Source organism: Homo sapiens, chromosome 9 (assembly GCF_000001405.40).
Source record: "Homo sapiens chromosome 9, GRCh38.p14 Primary Assembly".
NCBI lineage: Eukaryota > Metazoa > Chordata > Mammalia > Primates > Hominidae > Homo > Homo sapiens.
In genome coordinates, this window is record NC_000009.12 from 10333035 (window position 1) to 10351595 (window position 18561).

At 34.6% G+C, this 18561-nt stretch overlaps 1 protein-coding gene across 38 annotated transcripts in view; it reads right to left on the reverse strand.

Annotated features, from left to right (window-relative positions):
* PTPRD (protein tyrosine phosphatase receptor type D) overlaps window positions 1-18561 on the reverse strand; it is a 2298757-nt gene that overhangs the window by 2018789 nt on the left and 261407 nt on the right. For 37 of the 38 annotated variants that reach the window (NM_002839.4, XM_006716827.5, XM_047423649.1 and 34 more), the window contains one exon: window positions 7929-7983. The exons of the other annotated variant lie outside the window; for it this stretch is intronic. The gene's annotated coding sequence lies outside the window, so the exon portion shown is untranslated. The remainder of the gene's footprint in view (window positions 1-7928; window positions 7984-18561) is intronic. 38 annotated transcript variants of the gene reach the window in all.

Here is an 18561-nt window from a genome sequence, read left to right on the forward strand (position 1 = left end):
ACAGCTTGAATCACGCCTGACACAAGGTAGGACTTCAATAGGTATTTGCTGAATAAATAAGTGATTGATTTCTGTAAAATACGAAGTGAGGATATTCAGTGAGTGAACAGTAAGTGGAGAGAAACAGAGGCATGGAAGTAAGAGTTGTGTTCTGAGACTCCGATTAGTGCAGTTTGCCTAAGGCGTCAGGTGGGAGCAGAAAATTCAGTAAGCAGATCTCCCTGAAAGGGGGGTTGAAGTCACCCAGGAACAACCACAGGAGCCTTTGGTCCCTCGCGTTTTGTTTATAGCTTGTTCAGCACTAGACACTGGAAAGGAGGGCAGGAAGACATCAAAGTAGCTGTACCGTTCATATTATTTTCTTCCTTTGGCAGCTATTTTCTCTATTTCCTGCTGACACTACAATTTCAGCGATTTAATGATACAATTGTTTCTGAAAACGACACAGAAACAGATACCCTCAGCCATTTAATTGGCTGCCCTGAAGAAGTGGAATCTGCTGTTTTCTAATTTCATTTTTGAGGGGTTTGAGAATATGGAAAGGCTAGAAGAAAGACAATATTTACTTCCATTTAAAAAGGTAAAATCTTAGCAAGGAATTTTAAACTCAGCCCAGTTAATTAAGGTCTGCTATTTCCATGGCATACACCAGGATATCTACGAAGAGTTTATTTGATTCTTGCAAAGATATTACTAAAACTAAAGAAGCACAGTGCTGTTAGAAAAGTCTTATTTCTTCTCCTGTACATTTTAGGTTTTGTCTACCTAGGTCTCTAGGATTGTTGTGGAATTAGCTCCTGCATCTATGCACTTGACTGAGACTTGCTACCTTCTCAATATTTGAACTAATAAATTAAATACAAGAACATTTATACTTTCTGTTGTTGAAGAAAATTTCCCTCATTCTGCAAAATGTTACAGAAATAACATTAAAGTTGACCCAAGTTTTCCTCATTTTTCTTCTTAACATAAAAAATGAAATACTAAATTTCTAAACAGGCAAGTATATATAGTGGAAAGAATATGGTTAGTATATAAAATATTATGATATCAATGACCAGGTGCTGAAGCTAAGTATTGTGTATAAAGTAAGTATACACAATATACTAAAGATAGGGGAAGGCCTGAAAATAATTCTTCAACTTAGTTAACAAAGAAGACTCTGAAAAAAGGTTATAAGATAATAGGCAAATATACCTATATGTTATATCAAATGTTAAAAGGTGACTTTTCTTTATCACATTGATAGAATAAATCAGAAAATAACATAATAATACCAATAGATCCAGAAAAAGGATTTGACAAAATCCAACTTCCACTCATGATAAAATCTCTCAGTAAACGAGGAATAGAAGGGAGCTTCCTCAACTTGGTAAAAAATATCTATCCCACCCCCCACCACCAAAAAATATAACATACTGAAAACATCACATTGGTGAGAAGCTCGAGGCTTTCTTTCTAAGATCAGGAATAAAGCAACAATATTCCCTCTCAATATTCATTTCAAACAATATACTGGAAATCATAGATAATATTACGAGAAAAGGAAATCAATTTACTTTGTTTGAGAAGGAAGAAATAAAACCGTCTTTGCTTGCGGATGACAAGATCACCTATGCAGAAAATCCAGAACAACAACAACAACAAAAATCTCATGGAACTAATCAGCCGTTATAGCAAGGATTCAGCACACAAGGTCAACAAAGAAAAGTCACTTTTCCTTTGATTGACAGTGATAAGTCAATCACTGTCTTAACCACCAGCAATTAACAAGTGGAATTTGAAACTAAAAATACAATATTATTTACATTAGTGCCCAAGAAAATGAAATACTTTGGCATAAATCTAACAAAATATGTATGTGATATACATGATACACACTATGAAACTCTGATGAAAGAAATTAAAAATCTAAGTAAATGGAGAAATATTCCATGTTCAAGAACAAGAAGACTCAATGTCAACATAACAGTTCTTCCCAAATTAATCTAAATATGTAATGCAATCCCAATCAAAACCCCAGCCAGTTATATTTTGGATATTGACAAACTGATTGTTAAGCTAACATGTAGAAGCAAAAACCCAGAATAGCCAAGCCAATATAGAAGGAGAAGAACAAAGTCCAGGACTGACACTACCTGACCTCAAGACTTAATATAAAGCCACAGTACTCAAGACTGTGTGGTACTGGCAAAATAACAGATAAAAAGATCAATGGAACAGAAAGAGCACCTAGAAACAGACTCACATAAACATAGTCAACTGATCTTTCACAAAGAAACAATTGCAAAGCAATGGATAAAAGATCACCTTTCCAACAAATGGTGCCTGGTACAAATAGACATTACTATGCAAAAATAAATGAAAAAATGAATCTACTCACAAATCTTGCACCCTTAACAAAAGTTAACTCAAAACATATCACAGACCCAAGTGTAAAAGCCAAAACTATGAAACTCTTACAAGATATCATAGAAGAAAATGTAGATGATCTTGGGTTTGATGATGACATTAGATAGAACAACAAAGGCATGATCCATGAAATAAATAAATGATAAACTGGAATTCGTTAAAATAAAAAATTCCAGCTGAAAAAAGACACTGTCAAGAGAATGAAAAGACAAGCCAGTGACTGTAAGAAAATATTTGTAAAAGAGATATCTGACAAAGGAATGTTATCTAAAATATACAAAGAAAAACAAAAACTAAACAATAAGAAACAAACAACTTCATTAAAAAATGGGCCAAAGACATTAACAGGCATTTCACCAAAGAATATATACACACGGCAAATAAGCATGTGAAAAGATGCTCACCATGTCATCAGGGAAAAGCAACTTAAAACAACATAGAGATATCAGTACGTACTTATTAGAATGGCCAAAATCCAGAATACTGAAAACACTAAATGCTGTCAAGGATGTGGAACAACAGGAACACTCATTCATTGCTGGTGGGAGTGCAAATGGCACATCCAGTTTGGAAGAGAGTTTGGCAGTTTCTTACAAAACTAAACAGATTTTTGCCACCTAATCCAGCAATTGTGCTCCTTGGTATTTACCCCACGGAGCTGAAAACTTATGTTCACACAGAAAAACTTCATACAGATGTTTCTAGCAGCTTTATTGATATGGTATGCTTCTAATTAATAAATGTGAATACTAAAATAAGTGAAAGACTTAAGTCTTTTTTTAAAAGTGAATACTAAAATAAGTGAAAGAATACTAAATAAGTGAAAGACTTACCTGAGATTCAGAAAGGCTGAATCTCAGAATTTGGGTGGAAGAGAATTAGTAAGCAGAAGGAGAATACCAGTTTTGTGTGGCTCCTAAAGTGACTACCGGAAGGAAACGAGCATGAGGATTATGGGTGGGAGTTTTTTGTGGGCCAGAAAATGGTTCACATAATTTTGCCTATTTTGCATTTGCCAGAATTCAGTCACAAATAAAAAATAATATGAAAAGAGCCAGGATTAGCAAGCATAGAATAAATCAGAAAATAACATAATAATACCAATAGATCCAGAAAAAGGATTTGACAAAATCCAACTTCCACTCATGATAAAATCTCCAGTAGCCAAGAATATTAGGTCTAGGTAATATTTATGTCTGTCCTAGATGGTTGGAAGGTTGAAAATAAAAAGAATGAATAAAAAAAATCGAGGAGGGGAGACAAAAAAGTCGACAAATAACAATCGGCAGAAACTATAAAGAGCTATATCTAAAACAAAATACTAAGGGGACACAGGGACTAGGGTATTAGACCAGTAATGAAATCTGGAAAATACTACTAGAACTAGACTGTGAAGGAAAACTGGAGCTTTGGAAGTTGGATTTAGGGACTAAAGTCATTCTCTATAGACAGAGATGAAATGGTTCCAGATGTGCAATGAAGAAATAAATAGCCCAGGAAATTCTGAATGGAGAATATCCATTCAAGGTCGTAGTCAAGGAGCCATCTGACAAACTAGACAAGGTGAGTTAGTTTGCGACTGCAGCAACTTCAGCAAATACTGGCATCTACACAACCTTGCTTATTTAATTTCTAAAAAAACAAACAAAAAAGACAACAAAAACTTTCCTTTTCAACTTTATAGTTCTAAAATCGAGTGGCCCAATTTTGGTTTATTAAATGTGTGGAAAATATTGTATTAAATTACTTTAAATCACTTTTGCAAACACCATTTATGAAACAGAATTTTCCCCCTCATTATTATATATGTACACATTTTATAATAAATTCCAAATAAAATGTTAAAGGGTGAGTATACATGTATATATAGATACAAGATACAGATATGCTATTCAACGTAGCACACTTTGCTCTTCCTGATTTATACCAAATGGATTTAGATATAGTTTCAAAGAATCATATCTATCTCTCCACTTTTCATGCATCTGAATAGGAAATTTATGTGAACAAAACAGAGATAGTATAGTTTAATAGGTCCTAAAGAAATGCATAACATTTTAACATATGGAGGTTGTGCTCTAACAAACTTTAATACAAAACAATATTTTGTATATTCACTCATGCATTTTTTTCCTTTGCAATTTGGGAATTTAAAAAAACCAACAGTTTTATATGTAATTAAAACAATGCTTAAGTCATAAAACTCTTTTGTAATACTCAAAACTAAATCTTATTTATACTTATGTGTCAGGAACTTTACCTGCATTAACTTAATTAACACTTAGAGCCAGTCTATGAGGTAGACATTTTTACAGGTGCGGGAACTGAGGCTCAGAAACATTTGAAAACTTCTTCAAGATTATACAAATAGCAAATGGTGGAACCCACAATTTTACCCGTATAACATTTTTTTCAGAATCCATGCTTTTGATCTCCTTGCCAAGCTGTTTCCCATATTATATCTTTTATGTTAAAATACGTTTTCAGCAATTGCATTTTCTTAACACTTTCCTAATATAAAATTTTTTTTAAATTTATCTTGTTGGGAAAAACGCAAACTTTTTCACTCATTTCTCCATATCAGGTATTAAAGAGTCATGAAGTAAGTTTATTCATATCATATGAGCTTCATTCTATTTTGAGTCCAAAGACCAACTGAAAATGCATAAAAAGATTATATATGGAATACCACTGGGTCTTGCTAGCAGTATCAAAGTTATGTTAGGAAACAGTGCTGAGAAACCATGTTCATTGCCAGTTCTCAGCACAATTGGCTACCAGGAGTCATGTATAGTAAGTGCTATAGCTCAGTGCCTGCACAGCCTCACCTTTTCTGCTAATGAGTAACATTCTAGCAAGCAGAGGACTGATTCCTGAGACAGTTGCCTGAAATTTAATGCTCGATTTCTATCCATACCAATATAACTTTCAACTGATAGTCCTTCCACACGCAGACAAATGAAACTGACAAAAGACCTGTCAGTTACAAGCCAATAATGCATTTCAACAAATAATTTTTTGTGTGCCCAGCACATACTGTGGGTATTCAGTGTTCATCCCAAAACCCCACAAGGTTGGCCTATTTTGACTTTTATCACATCTATAGATAAAGGTGTAGTGTTATCTTTCTTTCCCACCCCAAACTGTACTCATCTTTTTATTGCAAATACCTGGCTAAAGGAAATGTCAAACCTTATATATAGAATTTACTTGAATAGGTCCTACGTCAAAGTGCTGCTTTCTTAGAAGCTCAAAACTGTTAATATGTATTGACTTAGCAAAAAGAACTCTAATGGCAAAGGCATTGCTTTTGAGAGAGATAGCCCATGTTTGGAACAGGAGAAAAAAAATACATATTTTTCTCTAAGAAAGTGAGGAGAGATTCAATATAGAATGGATAAGCTTAGCAGATATATAGCTTATAGGATAAATGAATATAAATTAAATAGAGTACATTGCTAAAGAGGACCTGGGGTCATAAATATAATGTAGACAAAAAAAAAAATTCCAACACAGAAGAAAGATTCATGGATATAAATTCAACTGAGCAAGAACAAAGTAAATTGTTCAGAGTTCAGCTGTCATTACTTGCAAGATCATAGACAATAAGCAGCAGAGTATCCAGGTGGTATTGTTTAGCTTTATTAGTGGATACATGTAAGTCCTGGAAGAAGGTTTGTAAAATGAGGAGAGTCCTGAAGATTAAAAAGGAATCCTCATTAGGAGAGAAGTTGATATTGGTCATCTAACATTAGGGCAGAAAATTTTCAGACCACTTTCTTCTATAAGTGTTACAACCATGCAGTTGACATTTTAGGAACTAAATCAGTCTTAATTTGCATAAAGGCTTTTTCATTGTTGTTCTTTTGTTATACAATCAAAATGCTTTAGCATAACACACCTTCTTCCTGTTTGTTTTGCTCTTCAAGAGAAAAGTAAGCATCCCTTACTTTTCCTTCCCTTCATCTGAAGTGCAAATTTAAGGTAAACAGGAATCTTCAAAGCACAAAAAGCATTTTCACTCTGAAAGACTTCTTATCTTGGAAGAAATGAGATTCCAGGATAATAAAAAGCTATCATGATATCTATTCTCTCCCTTACTTGACAGGGATTTTCAAGATGGATCGGCAAGATAGAAAGGGAATTTATTCATTCTACCAATACTTATGAAGAAAAGGGCATTTGGGATGAAAATGGATATTGGGACCTCCTCAAAGTTGCTATAGAAACCCGGGTGATTACAGCTAATGGTGTGGGGAGAAGTCCTGTTATCTTTAAGAGATTAACAGGAAACCTTGGTCTCATTATTTTTTCACTCCCCACATTGCTCTGATGATAGCAATGTACAGATTAGAACCAACAAACAACAATAATAACAAAACAACACCTTCAATATCTCCTTGTTTATAAAGTAAAAATATAATTTTGAAAATTGAGCTTCAAAAGCTTCCATCAACAAATCCCACTCCAACCTTCTGAAATAACACCTTATTCTTCATAACTATATTCTTTGATTTAGCATATGCCATATTGACAATATATCCCTATTTATTTCCACCTTCAGGTTTCTGTTCATACTCTCCTCTCTAAAGAAAATGATTTTATATAACTCCACATAAATACATCTCATCCAAAAAAATGCTAATTACTTGTTCAATAATTATTTCATACTACAAGAGTTAAAGTAGCCTCTGTCTTCTAAATGCTCATTCCACATTATCTGGACAAGTTCTCAATGTCTACCTGTGATACGGTTATGTACATTTGTTGTCAATGTTTTTCCCCATGTTTACAAATATCATTATATGTAATGTTCTCATAGCGACCAGTTTTCAAAGAATTGCTAGCTGGGAGTCAATAGCAAAAGCATACCAATCTTTACAGCATATACAGGGTCAACCCAAGTGGATCTGTCACGATTTAGTTTTCTCTTAGCACCTTGAACTATGCACTGTATCACACAGCTGGCTATATCACACCAGTGTGAGATTATATACTATTTGTATTGGTCTCTTTTTGTTTTTTGTTTTTGGTTTAAGTACAAAATTGTATGATGCCAAAGGTGAACATCTTCAAAGTCAGAAATATTCAGAATTAAAAACTAGCTCAGATATTAAATAGCCCTACATATTTGGATAAACTACCAACCATCCTAGAGCCTTAATTTCTTTCTACAACAGAAATAAAACCATTTTTCTTACAATATTTTTGTGAGGATTAAATAAGATGATTCACATTAAGAATCTAGGACATGGAAAGTCCTCAAATGGATGCCAACATCTCATGAGCAATACTGTCAGAAGATTCCATAATTCACTTTGAAGATTTCTCCAAAGTGTATAGCAAGACTAAATCCAGGTGGCACACCATTAGTGCACTGACCATATGTGATTTAAGCAGGGATAAGAACATGGTTTCATGTTTTAAATATTATTTCTCAAATGAGAAGCTATTATTATGCAATGGATAGAATTCAGTTTCTTATTATCTATTTCTAGTTCACAGATATTACTTACTAGTTGTGTGACTTTGAGACAGGTCCTTTACTTCCTTGATTCTTCACTTCTTCACCTGCAAAAATGAGGACATTGGGCTAGATCCATTATTTTACATTAATTTTTAAAAGTATTGGTTTCTTCATTCTGTGAATAAAATTGTATGGAAGTACAAAAACTGAAAGCATTAAAAGCAGAGTTGTTCTGAATAATACAAGGAGAAAATCTAGGACCTCCAACTTTCGGTATTGATTTGTCCATGGTTAACAGCAGATTCATGAAAAATTGTAACACTTAATCAGTTACTAAGGCTTACTCAGAAAGTACATACAAGAAATGCCAAACGCTAGGCCACTATAGTCACAGAATATTACCTAAAGAAAAATAGCCTTTGAAGCTCCAAGAATTGTGCTGAGTACATTGTCTAATTAGCTGAAAATTATAAAGTGAAATTATACAACTTTAATGATTGAATAAAGAAAAAAATGTGGCTCATAAAAGATAATATAGCAAACAAATTAGAGTGATCAGACATTAATGTTTTGCGTTTCAAAGATAATATTGGGTGCAAAATTCATATGGATGAGTTATGTCTTCACACTTTCAATATTGTTAAGCATGTGTCAAGATGGCCACAGTATTGTAGAATGGTCAGTATGCAAAAATTATGCAAGAAATCATGTAAGAAATGAAACATGTGGCTTTAGAGTTGATAGATGGTTTTAACATTGTAACATTATAGTTCTGGGCTATTTACAAAACCTCTCTAAACTGCTGCTTATCTGTAAAATGAAAATAGCAATTTGGTCTTCTTTTCATTTGTTTGTTATTATTAAAGGATATTTGATATAGAAAGCACCAGCTGATATTGAGTTCCTAAGTAATATTAATTCTTTTTTCCCCTCTCCTTTTATGTAGTTCCATATGTATTGTTAATATTACTCAGCATAGAGTGTTAAGCAATCTTAGCAACTCAACTTTTTAATGGTATCTTTCACAGTGGTTTCTAGCTTTCTAACCTTTTGAAGCTGTTAAAATAAAGTCAAATAATGATACTGCTGTGGCTTAAGTGTATGCTAGGATCAATAAATTGTGGTTCTTGGAATAAATTGCAATTAAAGGGATAGCACTTGATTGCTTGACAGTAGGTAGTCTTTTTGGCCCAAAGAAACTTGAGTATCAATCTGATTCATAAGCTAATTAGTATGGACTTCACTTTCATTTCACTGGAAGATCATCAGATCGTATTGACTCCTGTCCACATCATGAGTGCGCCCTTGATACTGGCCTGTGTCACTTATAGGTAACAAATCCTCTTCACTTGTTTACTTTGCTTATTCAAGATTATAGTAAGCATTTTTAATCAAATAGAATATAGAAGAAATTTAACATGTTTGTAAATAAGCACTCTAATAGCTCTAAAAACTTCAATACTATTGCCTGCCTTTTTACATTTCTATACATTTAGGATAAAACATGTCTTAATTCAGATATGATAAATGTATCAACATTGTAAAGAACGATGACTGTTACTGAATCTTTGTAGCAATAGAAAAATTTATATAACAACTAATTATACACTAGAAAACACAACAGGATCGATATTTCATGGTAAATTATTTGAATTAATCTAAAAATAAAGAGTCAAAGTATTGTCCTCAAATGTATAAATACACTTACTTAGAGTATATTATTTTATTGTTCTTAATTTTCCGCACCTTCTATTCCATGTGGTGTTTTATATGTAATAAATTCCAGCATATACCTGTATAACTATTGAATGAATATAAGCCATTCAGAGACTAAAGCAAAGTAAGTTAAGCAATCCCTTGGACTGTAAATTCCATTAAGATAAATAATGTGCTTGTGTGTTTTCTTCCTCTATATTATCTACTTACCAGCATATGTCCATCCAGAGATTAAATAAATGTTTTGAATGAACAAACTAAAAAGGTTGGATTTCTGAAAATGACTGTTTAAATATAAAGTATCTTCTCCATTTAAATAGCCTGACCTCCATACCTCTTGTTTGTTACACACTTTTTATTTTTTATACTTTAAGTTCTAGGGTACATGTGCACAACGTGCAGTTTTGATACCTAGGTACACATGTGCCATGTTGGTTTGTTGCACACATCAATTCCTCATTTACATTAGGTATTTCTCCTAATGCTATCCCTCCCCCAGCCCCCGACCCCCTGACAGGCCCTGTTGTGTGATGTTCCTCACCCTGTGTCCAGGTGATCTCCTTATTCACTTCCCACCTATGAGTGAGAACGTGCGATGTTTGGTTTTCTGTTCCTGTGTTAGTTTGCTGAGAATGATGGTTTCCAGCTTCATCCATGTCCCTGCAAAGGACATGAACTCATCCTTTTTTATGGCTGCATTATATTCCATGGTGTATATGTGCCAAATTTTCTTAATCCAGTCTGTCATTGATGGACATTCTGGTTGGTTCCAAGTCTTTGCTGTTGTGAATAGTGCTGCAATATACATATATGTGCATGTGTCTTTATAGTAGCATGATTTATAATCCTTTGGGTATATACCCAGTAACGGGATTGCTGGGTCAAATGGTATTTCTTGTTCTAGGTCCTTGAGGAATCGCCACAATGTCTTCCACATGATTGAACTAATTTACAGTCCCACCAACAGTGAAAAAGTGTTTCTATTTCTCCACAACATCTCCAGCATCTGTTGTTTCCTGACTTTTTAGTGATTGCCATTCTAACTGGAGTAAGATGTTATCTCACTGTGGTTTTCATTTGCATTTCTCTGATGGCCAGTGATGATGAGCATTATTTTCATGTGTCTGTTGGCTGCATAAATGTCTTCTTTTGAGAAGTGTCTGTTCATATCCTTTGCCCACTTTTTGATGGGGTTGTTTGTTTTTTTCTTGTAAATTTGTTTGAGCTCTTCGTTTTCTTGTAAATTTGTTTGAGCTCTTCGTAGATTCTGGATATTAGCTCTTTGTCAGATGGGTGGATTGCAAAATTTTTCTCCCATTCTGTAGGTTGCCTGTTCATTCTGATGGTAGTTTTTTTTTTTTTTTTTTTTTTTTTTTTTGCTGTGCAGAAGCTCTTTAGTTTAATTAGATCCCATTTGTCTATTTTGGCTTTTGTTGCCATTGCTTTTGGTGTTTTAGACATGAAGTCCTTGCCCATGCCTATGTCCTGAATGGTATTGCCTAGGTTTTCTTCTAGGGTTTTTATGGTTTTAGGTCTTACATTTAAGTCTTTAATCCATCTTGAATTAATTTTTGTATAAGGTGTAAGGAAGGGATCCAGTTTCATCTTTCTACATATGGCTAGCCAGTTTTCCCAGCACCATTTATTGAATAGAGAATCCTTTCTCCATTTCTTGTTTTTGTCAGGTTTGTCATACATCAGATGGTTGTAGATGTGTGGTGTTATTTCTGAGGCCTCTGTTCTGTTCCATTGGTCTATATGTCTGTTTTGGTACCAGCACCATGCTGTTTTGGTTACTGTAGTCTTGTAGTATAGCTTGAAGTCAGGTAGCATGATGCCTCCAGCTTTGTTTCTTTTTGCTTAGGATTGTCTTGGCAATGTAGGCTCTTTTTTGGTTTCATACAAACTTTAAAGTAGTTTTTTTCCAATTCTGTGAAGAAAGTCTTTGGTAGCTTGATGAGGATGGCATTGAATCTATAAATTACCTTGGGTAGTATGGCCATTTTCACGATATTGATTCTTCCTATCCATGAGCATGGAATGTTCTTCCATTTGTTTGTGCCCTCTTTTATTTCATTGAGCAGTGGTTTGTAGTTCTCATTGGTCCTTCACATCCCTGGTAAGTTGGATACCTAGGTATTTTATTCACTTTGTAGCAATTCTGAATGGGAGTTCACGCATGATTTGGTTCTCTGTTTGTCTGTTATTGGAGTTATACACTTTTTCAAAAAGCAAACCAAAATCAGAATCAAATAAATAATTTTCTCATGCCTTGCTTTCTCTGTTGTCTCATATTTATGTTATTCATTTTAGATGCTATTATAAATCTAAAATCATATAAATCTCCTATTATACTATAATAATGTAATTTTATCTTTCTGAGCATTAAATCCTTTCTCCCCATCATAGAATGGAAACTTGGTGAAGACTATGGCTAAAAAAGACTTATCTTTTTGGTATGCTGATGAATTCCAATCACCCACCATTGCATCTGATTCATTGCAAGTGGTCAATATTTACTGGGCAAATTCAAAATTATCAAAATTCAAAATAATCAAAATTATAAATTTTAAATAATATTTCAGACAACCTCAATTTACACATGGAAATATATTTTCATAAATTTATAGTGAACATTTTTTCTTTTTTTAAATTTTGTTATTATACTTTAAGTTCTGGGATATATGGCAGGTTTGTTACATAGGTATACACATGCCATCGTGGTTTGCTGCACCCATCAACCTGTCATCTACATTAGATATTTCTCCTAATCCTATCCCTCCCCTAGCCCCCCACCCCCCACATGCCCCAGTGTGTGAGGTTCCTCTCCACCTGCCCATTTGTTCTCATTGTTCTACTCCCACTTATGAGTGAGAACATGCGGTGTTTGGTTTTCTGTTCTTATGTTAGTTTGCTGAGAATGATGGTTTCTAGCTTCATCCATGTCCCTGCAAAGGACATGAACTCATCCTTTTTGTGGCTACACAGTATTCCACGGTGTATATGTGCCACATTTTCTTTTTCCAGTCTATCATTGATGGACATTTGTGTTGGTTCCAAGTCTTTGCTATTGTGAACAGTGTTGCAAAACACATACGTGTGCATATGTCTTTATAGTAGAATGATTTGTAATCCTTTGGGTATAATCCCAGTAATGGGATTGCTGAGTCAAATGGTATTTCTGGTTCTGGATCCTTGAACAATCGCCACATGTCTTCCACATGCTTGAAGTAATTTACACTCCCACCAACAGTGTAAAAGCATTCCTATTTCTCCACATCCTCTCCAGCATCTGTTGTTTCCTGACTTTTTAATGATCGCCATTCTAACTGATGTGAGATGGTATTTCATTGCGGTTTTGATTTGCAGTCCTCTAATAACCAATATCAATCATTTAACCTCTTTCATATATGACAACACAGAAAATATATGGAATTTAAGCAATTATATTGAAACACAATTTAAAACAGTACAAGCAGTGATAGTATTTGAAATTAATAGGATTCTAAGCTCAAAATGCTTAAGTAAATGTTTCCATGTAAAAATTGGTAGAAGTCTATGAAAAGAATTAGAAGCAAAACATATTCCCTAGCTCTTAATGTCATCCAAAACAAGAACCTGTGTTCCTTGAAAGCAAAATATATGTCTTATTGACCTTGTTATGTCCAGGAATGAACATGACACCTGGTTCATTTTGAGGCTTCAATTCATGTTTTAAATGCCTTAATAAATGAATCAATCAACTAGGAGGTTCAGAATGTTTAGGAATTGAAAATTGACACATAAAGTATGAGGAGGACAAAATAAAGACTGAAAAATTATATAAGAATATATGATACAGTAATTTAATAATTTAATATCAAAAAACTATTCATGTGCTATAGTTTCATAAGATTATGTTTTATTCTAAACTGCAAGTGATATTAGAATTCCAGAAAATATAAAGTATGTTTGCATAGGTAGATTTTTTAAACATTCATGATGAGGCATTATCTTTTTCCATTCTAAGGTCAGTGACCTCAGATTCGAGTTGTAGATAATATTTGACAGCATCTTTTCCCCATGCCTGTAAACTGATCTGGTAATGAGAGAGGATATCTTGTTTTCCTGTACTTGTGTTACATTTACTGAAGTGAATGGGTGGAAAAGTTTGCACAGGTGTGGGTCTGAAAGCAAGAGGTAATGTAATTTCACAGAACATGTGATTTGTCATAGGCCTTACAGCAAGGGTCATAGCTCTGAGTAATCTTAGATCTATCCATCTGTCTAATTATCAATTTGTTAGAAATCTTGCAATAAAGAATTATAGTTTTATGAGCTGCATAATTATGATGTCATTACAATAAACCAAATGTTTAAATACTTTTATCTTTCAGGTGGCCACATGCTAGACCATGGGAAAAAAAATAAAAATTATCTTTTCTGTCCTTACTATAAGGCACACCTCCCCTCCTAACTCCCTGAAATTTCACTCTCATCAGCCCAGATCTCCACCACACACCCAGTTGTCTTTCTCTACTCTTCTTTTCTCATTCCTCTCTTTACACTTCATTGTCTGCCACTGTTATTCAATGGGGCTAGTCCAGAACTAGTCCTGCCTCTATGAGCATATTTTGTTTTTCCTCCATGTATTTTTCCTCTCAAATTATTTCTTTGTAAATAAAATTTTTGTTGATGCATAATAGATGTACATAGTTTCAGGTATATGTGATAATTTAATTCACTAGCATACTTTGTATGATTTGTAAAGATGGAATGTCCATCATCTTAGCTATTTGTCTTTTTTTTTTTTTTTTTTGAGATGGAGTTTTGCTCTTATTGCCCAGGCTGGAGTGCAACGGCACAATCTCGGCTCACTGCAACCTCTGCCCCCTGGGTTCAAGCAATTCTCCTGCCTCAGCCTCCCAAGTAGCTGGGATTACAGGTGTCTGCCACTACACCCGGCTAATTTTTACATTTTTAGTAGAGACGGGGTTTCTCCATGTTGGTCAGGCTAGTCTCGAATTCCCAACCTCAGGTGACCACCCACCTCAGCCTCCCAAAGTGCTGAGATTACAGGCGTGAGTCACTGCACCCGGCCAGCTATTTGTCTTTATGCTGGAAACATTCTAATTATTATTTGCTAGCTATTTTGAAATGTACAATAGGCTGTGAGCAGTGGCTCACGCCTGTAATCCAAGCACTTTGGGAGGCCGAGGCAGGAGGATCATCTGAGGTCAGGAGTTTGAGACCAGCCTGGCCAACATAGGGAAAACCTATCTCTACTAAAAATACAAAAATTAGCCCAGCGTGGTGCATGTGCCTGGAGTCCCTGCTATTCAGGAGGCTGAGGCAGGGAGAATCGCTTGAACCCAGGAGGTGGTGGCTGCAGTGACCCGAGATCATGCCACTGCACTCCAGCCTGGGAAGCAGAGCAAGACTTCGTCTAAAAAAACAAAATGTACAATAGATTCTTGTGAACTATAGTCACACTATTTATCTATCAAGCACTAAATCTTATTTTATGTCAAACCTTATATTTGTACCCATTAATCAACTTCTCTTCCTCTCTCCTTCCCAGTTATCCTTCCTGGCTTACGTAGGATTACTTTTTTTAAGGCAATGTTAGGATTGGTCAGAGCTTCTAACTATAAACTCTAAAATATCCATTCACCTATGCCAATGATCTACTTTCTCAATATGAAATGTTGTTATCTAAGTTTCTAAGAGTGCTGTTTAATTTTAGGTAAAATGAATGTTAGAAAACAGCATTTAGAGGGACAAAAACAACCAAAATGATTTAAAACAGGGTTGACAAGCATATGCTGCAAGCGGTAAAACACTGCCCCTTACGTGGTGCACATCAACACTCAGTCAAAACTCCTTCCCTCTAAGCAAGGATGCAGCCTCTGAATTCTTCTGAGTAATATTCCCTTGGTCAGATAAAGCATAAAACTTGTCTTCTCTGTATTAAAAATGTACCTTTTAGTATATGCTATTGAAAAATGAAAAAAAGTTTACCTCCCCTGTTTGCATATAACATTTGTTACGTTATTTCATTTTAAAAATCTTGTAAAGTTTTTCTAATAATGTGAGTAAAACGCTATTACGGAACTTCGATATATGTGTGAAAGGAAAATAAATATTGGGACCTTAAACTCACTAAGCTAAAAGGAAAAGTCCAGCTGGGAACTTGGTCACGCAAGCCTGCCTGCTATTTTGATCCCTAAATAAGATGGCTACAAAGATGAAAAGCTATATACCTCCCTAACATTTTGCCCACAAGTAAACTCCTTGTGTGCCCCAAGATTTTTACCTTCAAGCTTATCTGTCAAAGTTCACCATGGCAGTGTAATTGATCAACCTATCAATTATCTTTGCAGGTACAGGGGACATAGGACAGAACTCAGAGTCATCCCTCTGCACACCTGAAACAAATGCATATCTGATTGTTTCCTCTGCCTTATTGTCTATGTTATATTATATAAAAATTCAGACTCACTGAGCAGGACGAAGCCATTAATATTCTCCCCTACTGCAATCTCACATGATAACTGTGTATTTCTCAACATCCTGTCCTTTCCCCTTTAAATTTGAAGCCCTCAAAATCATCTTTGGGGAAAGTCATAGACCTGTCTCCAGTGGGGTGGGGGGTGGGGGGCATCCTTAACTTTGGCAAATAAACCTCCTAAAATGAGACCTGCCTGGATCATTTTCCTTGATTGACATATGCACACAAACACGCACACAAACACACATTCATACATATTTTCTAGCTGTAATTACTGCCCCTGCAGATAAATTATTCCAGTTAACATTGTGGCCTATGTTCCCATCTGTCATACCTAAATAAACAAGTTACTAAATAGGAAATATGCACAGACACATACACAAAAATGCATATACATAAACCTCTCTATTTGATGTCCTGTGGATTTGTTTCCATGTCCCTCAGTATTTTTTAGAGTGTCATTTGAATAGGTCTTTAAGTTAAAATTAATTTTGACTGTGTGAATACATGAAAAAAAGTATAAAAAGGTCATTTTCATTTCATAATATCTGTTGAATTTAGGCTTAATTTAAAAATAATCATTAAAAATAAAAACAAATTTTAAAAATCACCTTTGGTAGGCTGAATAATTGCATCACAAAGAAGTCCACATGATAATTCTAAGTACCCATGAATATCTTACAGGTGCATGCCACCATCCCCAGCTAATTTTTTGTATTTTTAATAGAGACAGGGTTTCACCATATTGGCCAGGTAGGTCTCGAACTCCTGACCTCAGGTGGTCGGCCCACCTCGTCCCCCAAAGTGCTGGGATTACAGGCATGAGCCACTGTGCCCAGCCGGGATCCTTTTTGTTTTAAATAATTGAAAGAGAAACAGCAATGCCTATCAAGGCAGCTGGATTGGTCAAATTACCTTGGAGGACAATATAAGTTCACAGACTAGAAAAGTCTATGTGACACTATTGATTAGACAATACTTCACTAATTAATATAGACCCATTTCATTGGTGTGCAGAGTATACATGTTTTTTTTTCTTCTCAGCACCCTGGATTATATCTTAAGAAAGATGCAGCATAGAGGCCTTATCAGTTTTTAAATGTTTCAGGCATTAATTAGCAAAGACTCTCTTTTTGTTGTCAAAATATAGTCAAGGGAACTATAAGAAGAAACTTTAAAGACCAAGTCAATTTATCTTGTAAATAGTCATTCTAAACAATTCTGTTATCTAAATATTACCTTTATTTTACATGATATTTATTTGATATAATATACTTTAGGGTGGCTCACTTAATCTTTCCAGATTTCATTTTACTTATTATTAATAGTATACAATTATTTTATAAAATCAAAAAAAATTAAGCATTTACTTTGAGTCTCTCTGCTAAGCTTTTTACATATATTTTGTCATTTAATCCTCATTACAATATACAAAACATATTGTCATTATTTCTATTTTACAGATGATGAAACAGAGGTGCCAAAAGATAAGTAATTTTCTAAGATCAGGATCTTGGTTAGTGGTCAAATGGGCCATCTGCCAAAACAGTCTATACTGTATTACACTGTATATAAAAAGATAATAAAGGCTTCTGCACAACCTCTCAAAACAATAATTAGGATTAAATTCATCCATGCATTGATTTCTACATTCCATCATAAAGCTAATGGTCATCGTGCACTTAGAATGTGCTCACCAAATATTGAGCGTGGTGGGATACAGCTATGAACAAAGAGACAGGTGTTTGGCCTTATGGAGTTTACAGGATAGGTGGAAAGACATCGTAATTCCTTAGAGTCATAAAATGGTGATGATATAAAAAAGAAAGTACAGTGAGCTATGATAATAGCAGAGAAGAGATGGGTATAATACTGAAGAAAGGAGCCAAAGGTCAGTTTTAGGGAGATGGCATTTGAGCTAAGATACACAAAAGGAGGTTCACTAGGAAGATACCAAAAAGAGAAGTCATGATACATAAAGTCACTTTATAAAGTGTTAAAGAATTGTAAAATTTGAGGCATTAAGCATTAAAAGAGAGTTGTGACAAATGTGTTGAAGAAAAATATGCTTGCAAACTCAGTTGTAAATTTTTTTTTAATCATCTACTATCGTGGATTATCTAAATTACTGTCGCCCTCCATTTATGTGGATAATGAGTTGACTAAGTATTGAACATGTTTAAAATAGCTGAACCCTGTCTTTTCCTGGCTCCACACATTGCCTATCATATGGTCGACACTAACCAATCTGTTTCTTTTACTGCCCAATTACACTTTGATAGTGATTAAGAGTCACATACACACATCTTCTTTGTAGAAAAGGGAATGGATTTGTTCAAATGGGACCTCTTACTCACCATTAAGAAAATATATTGTATTGGAGTCATGAAGTGATTACTGACTGCTAAATAGCCACGTTGGAGTCAATCATAGCTGGAACCCTTAGCTTTTAGCTGTGGGAAACAGAGGATCAAAA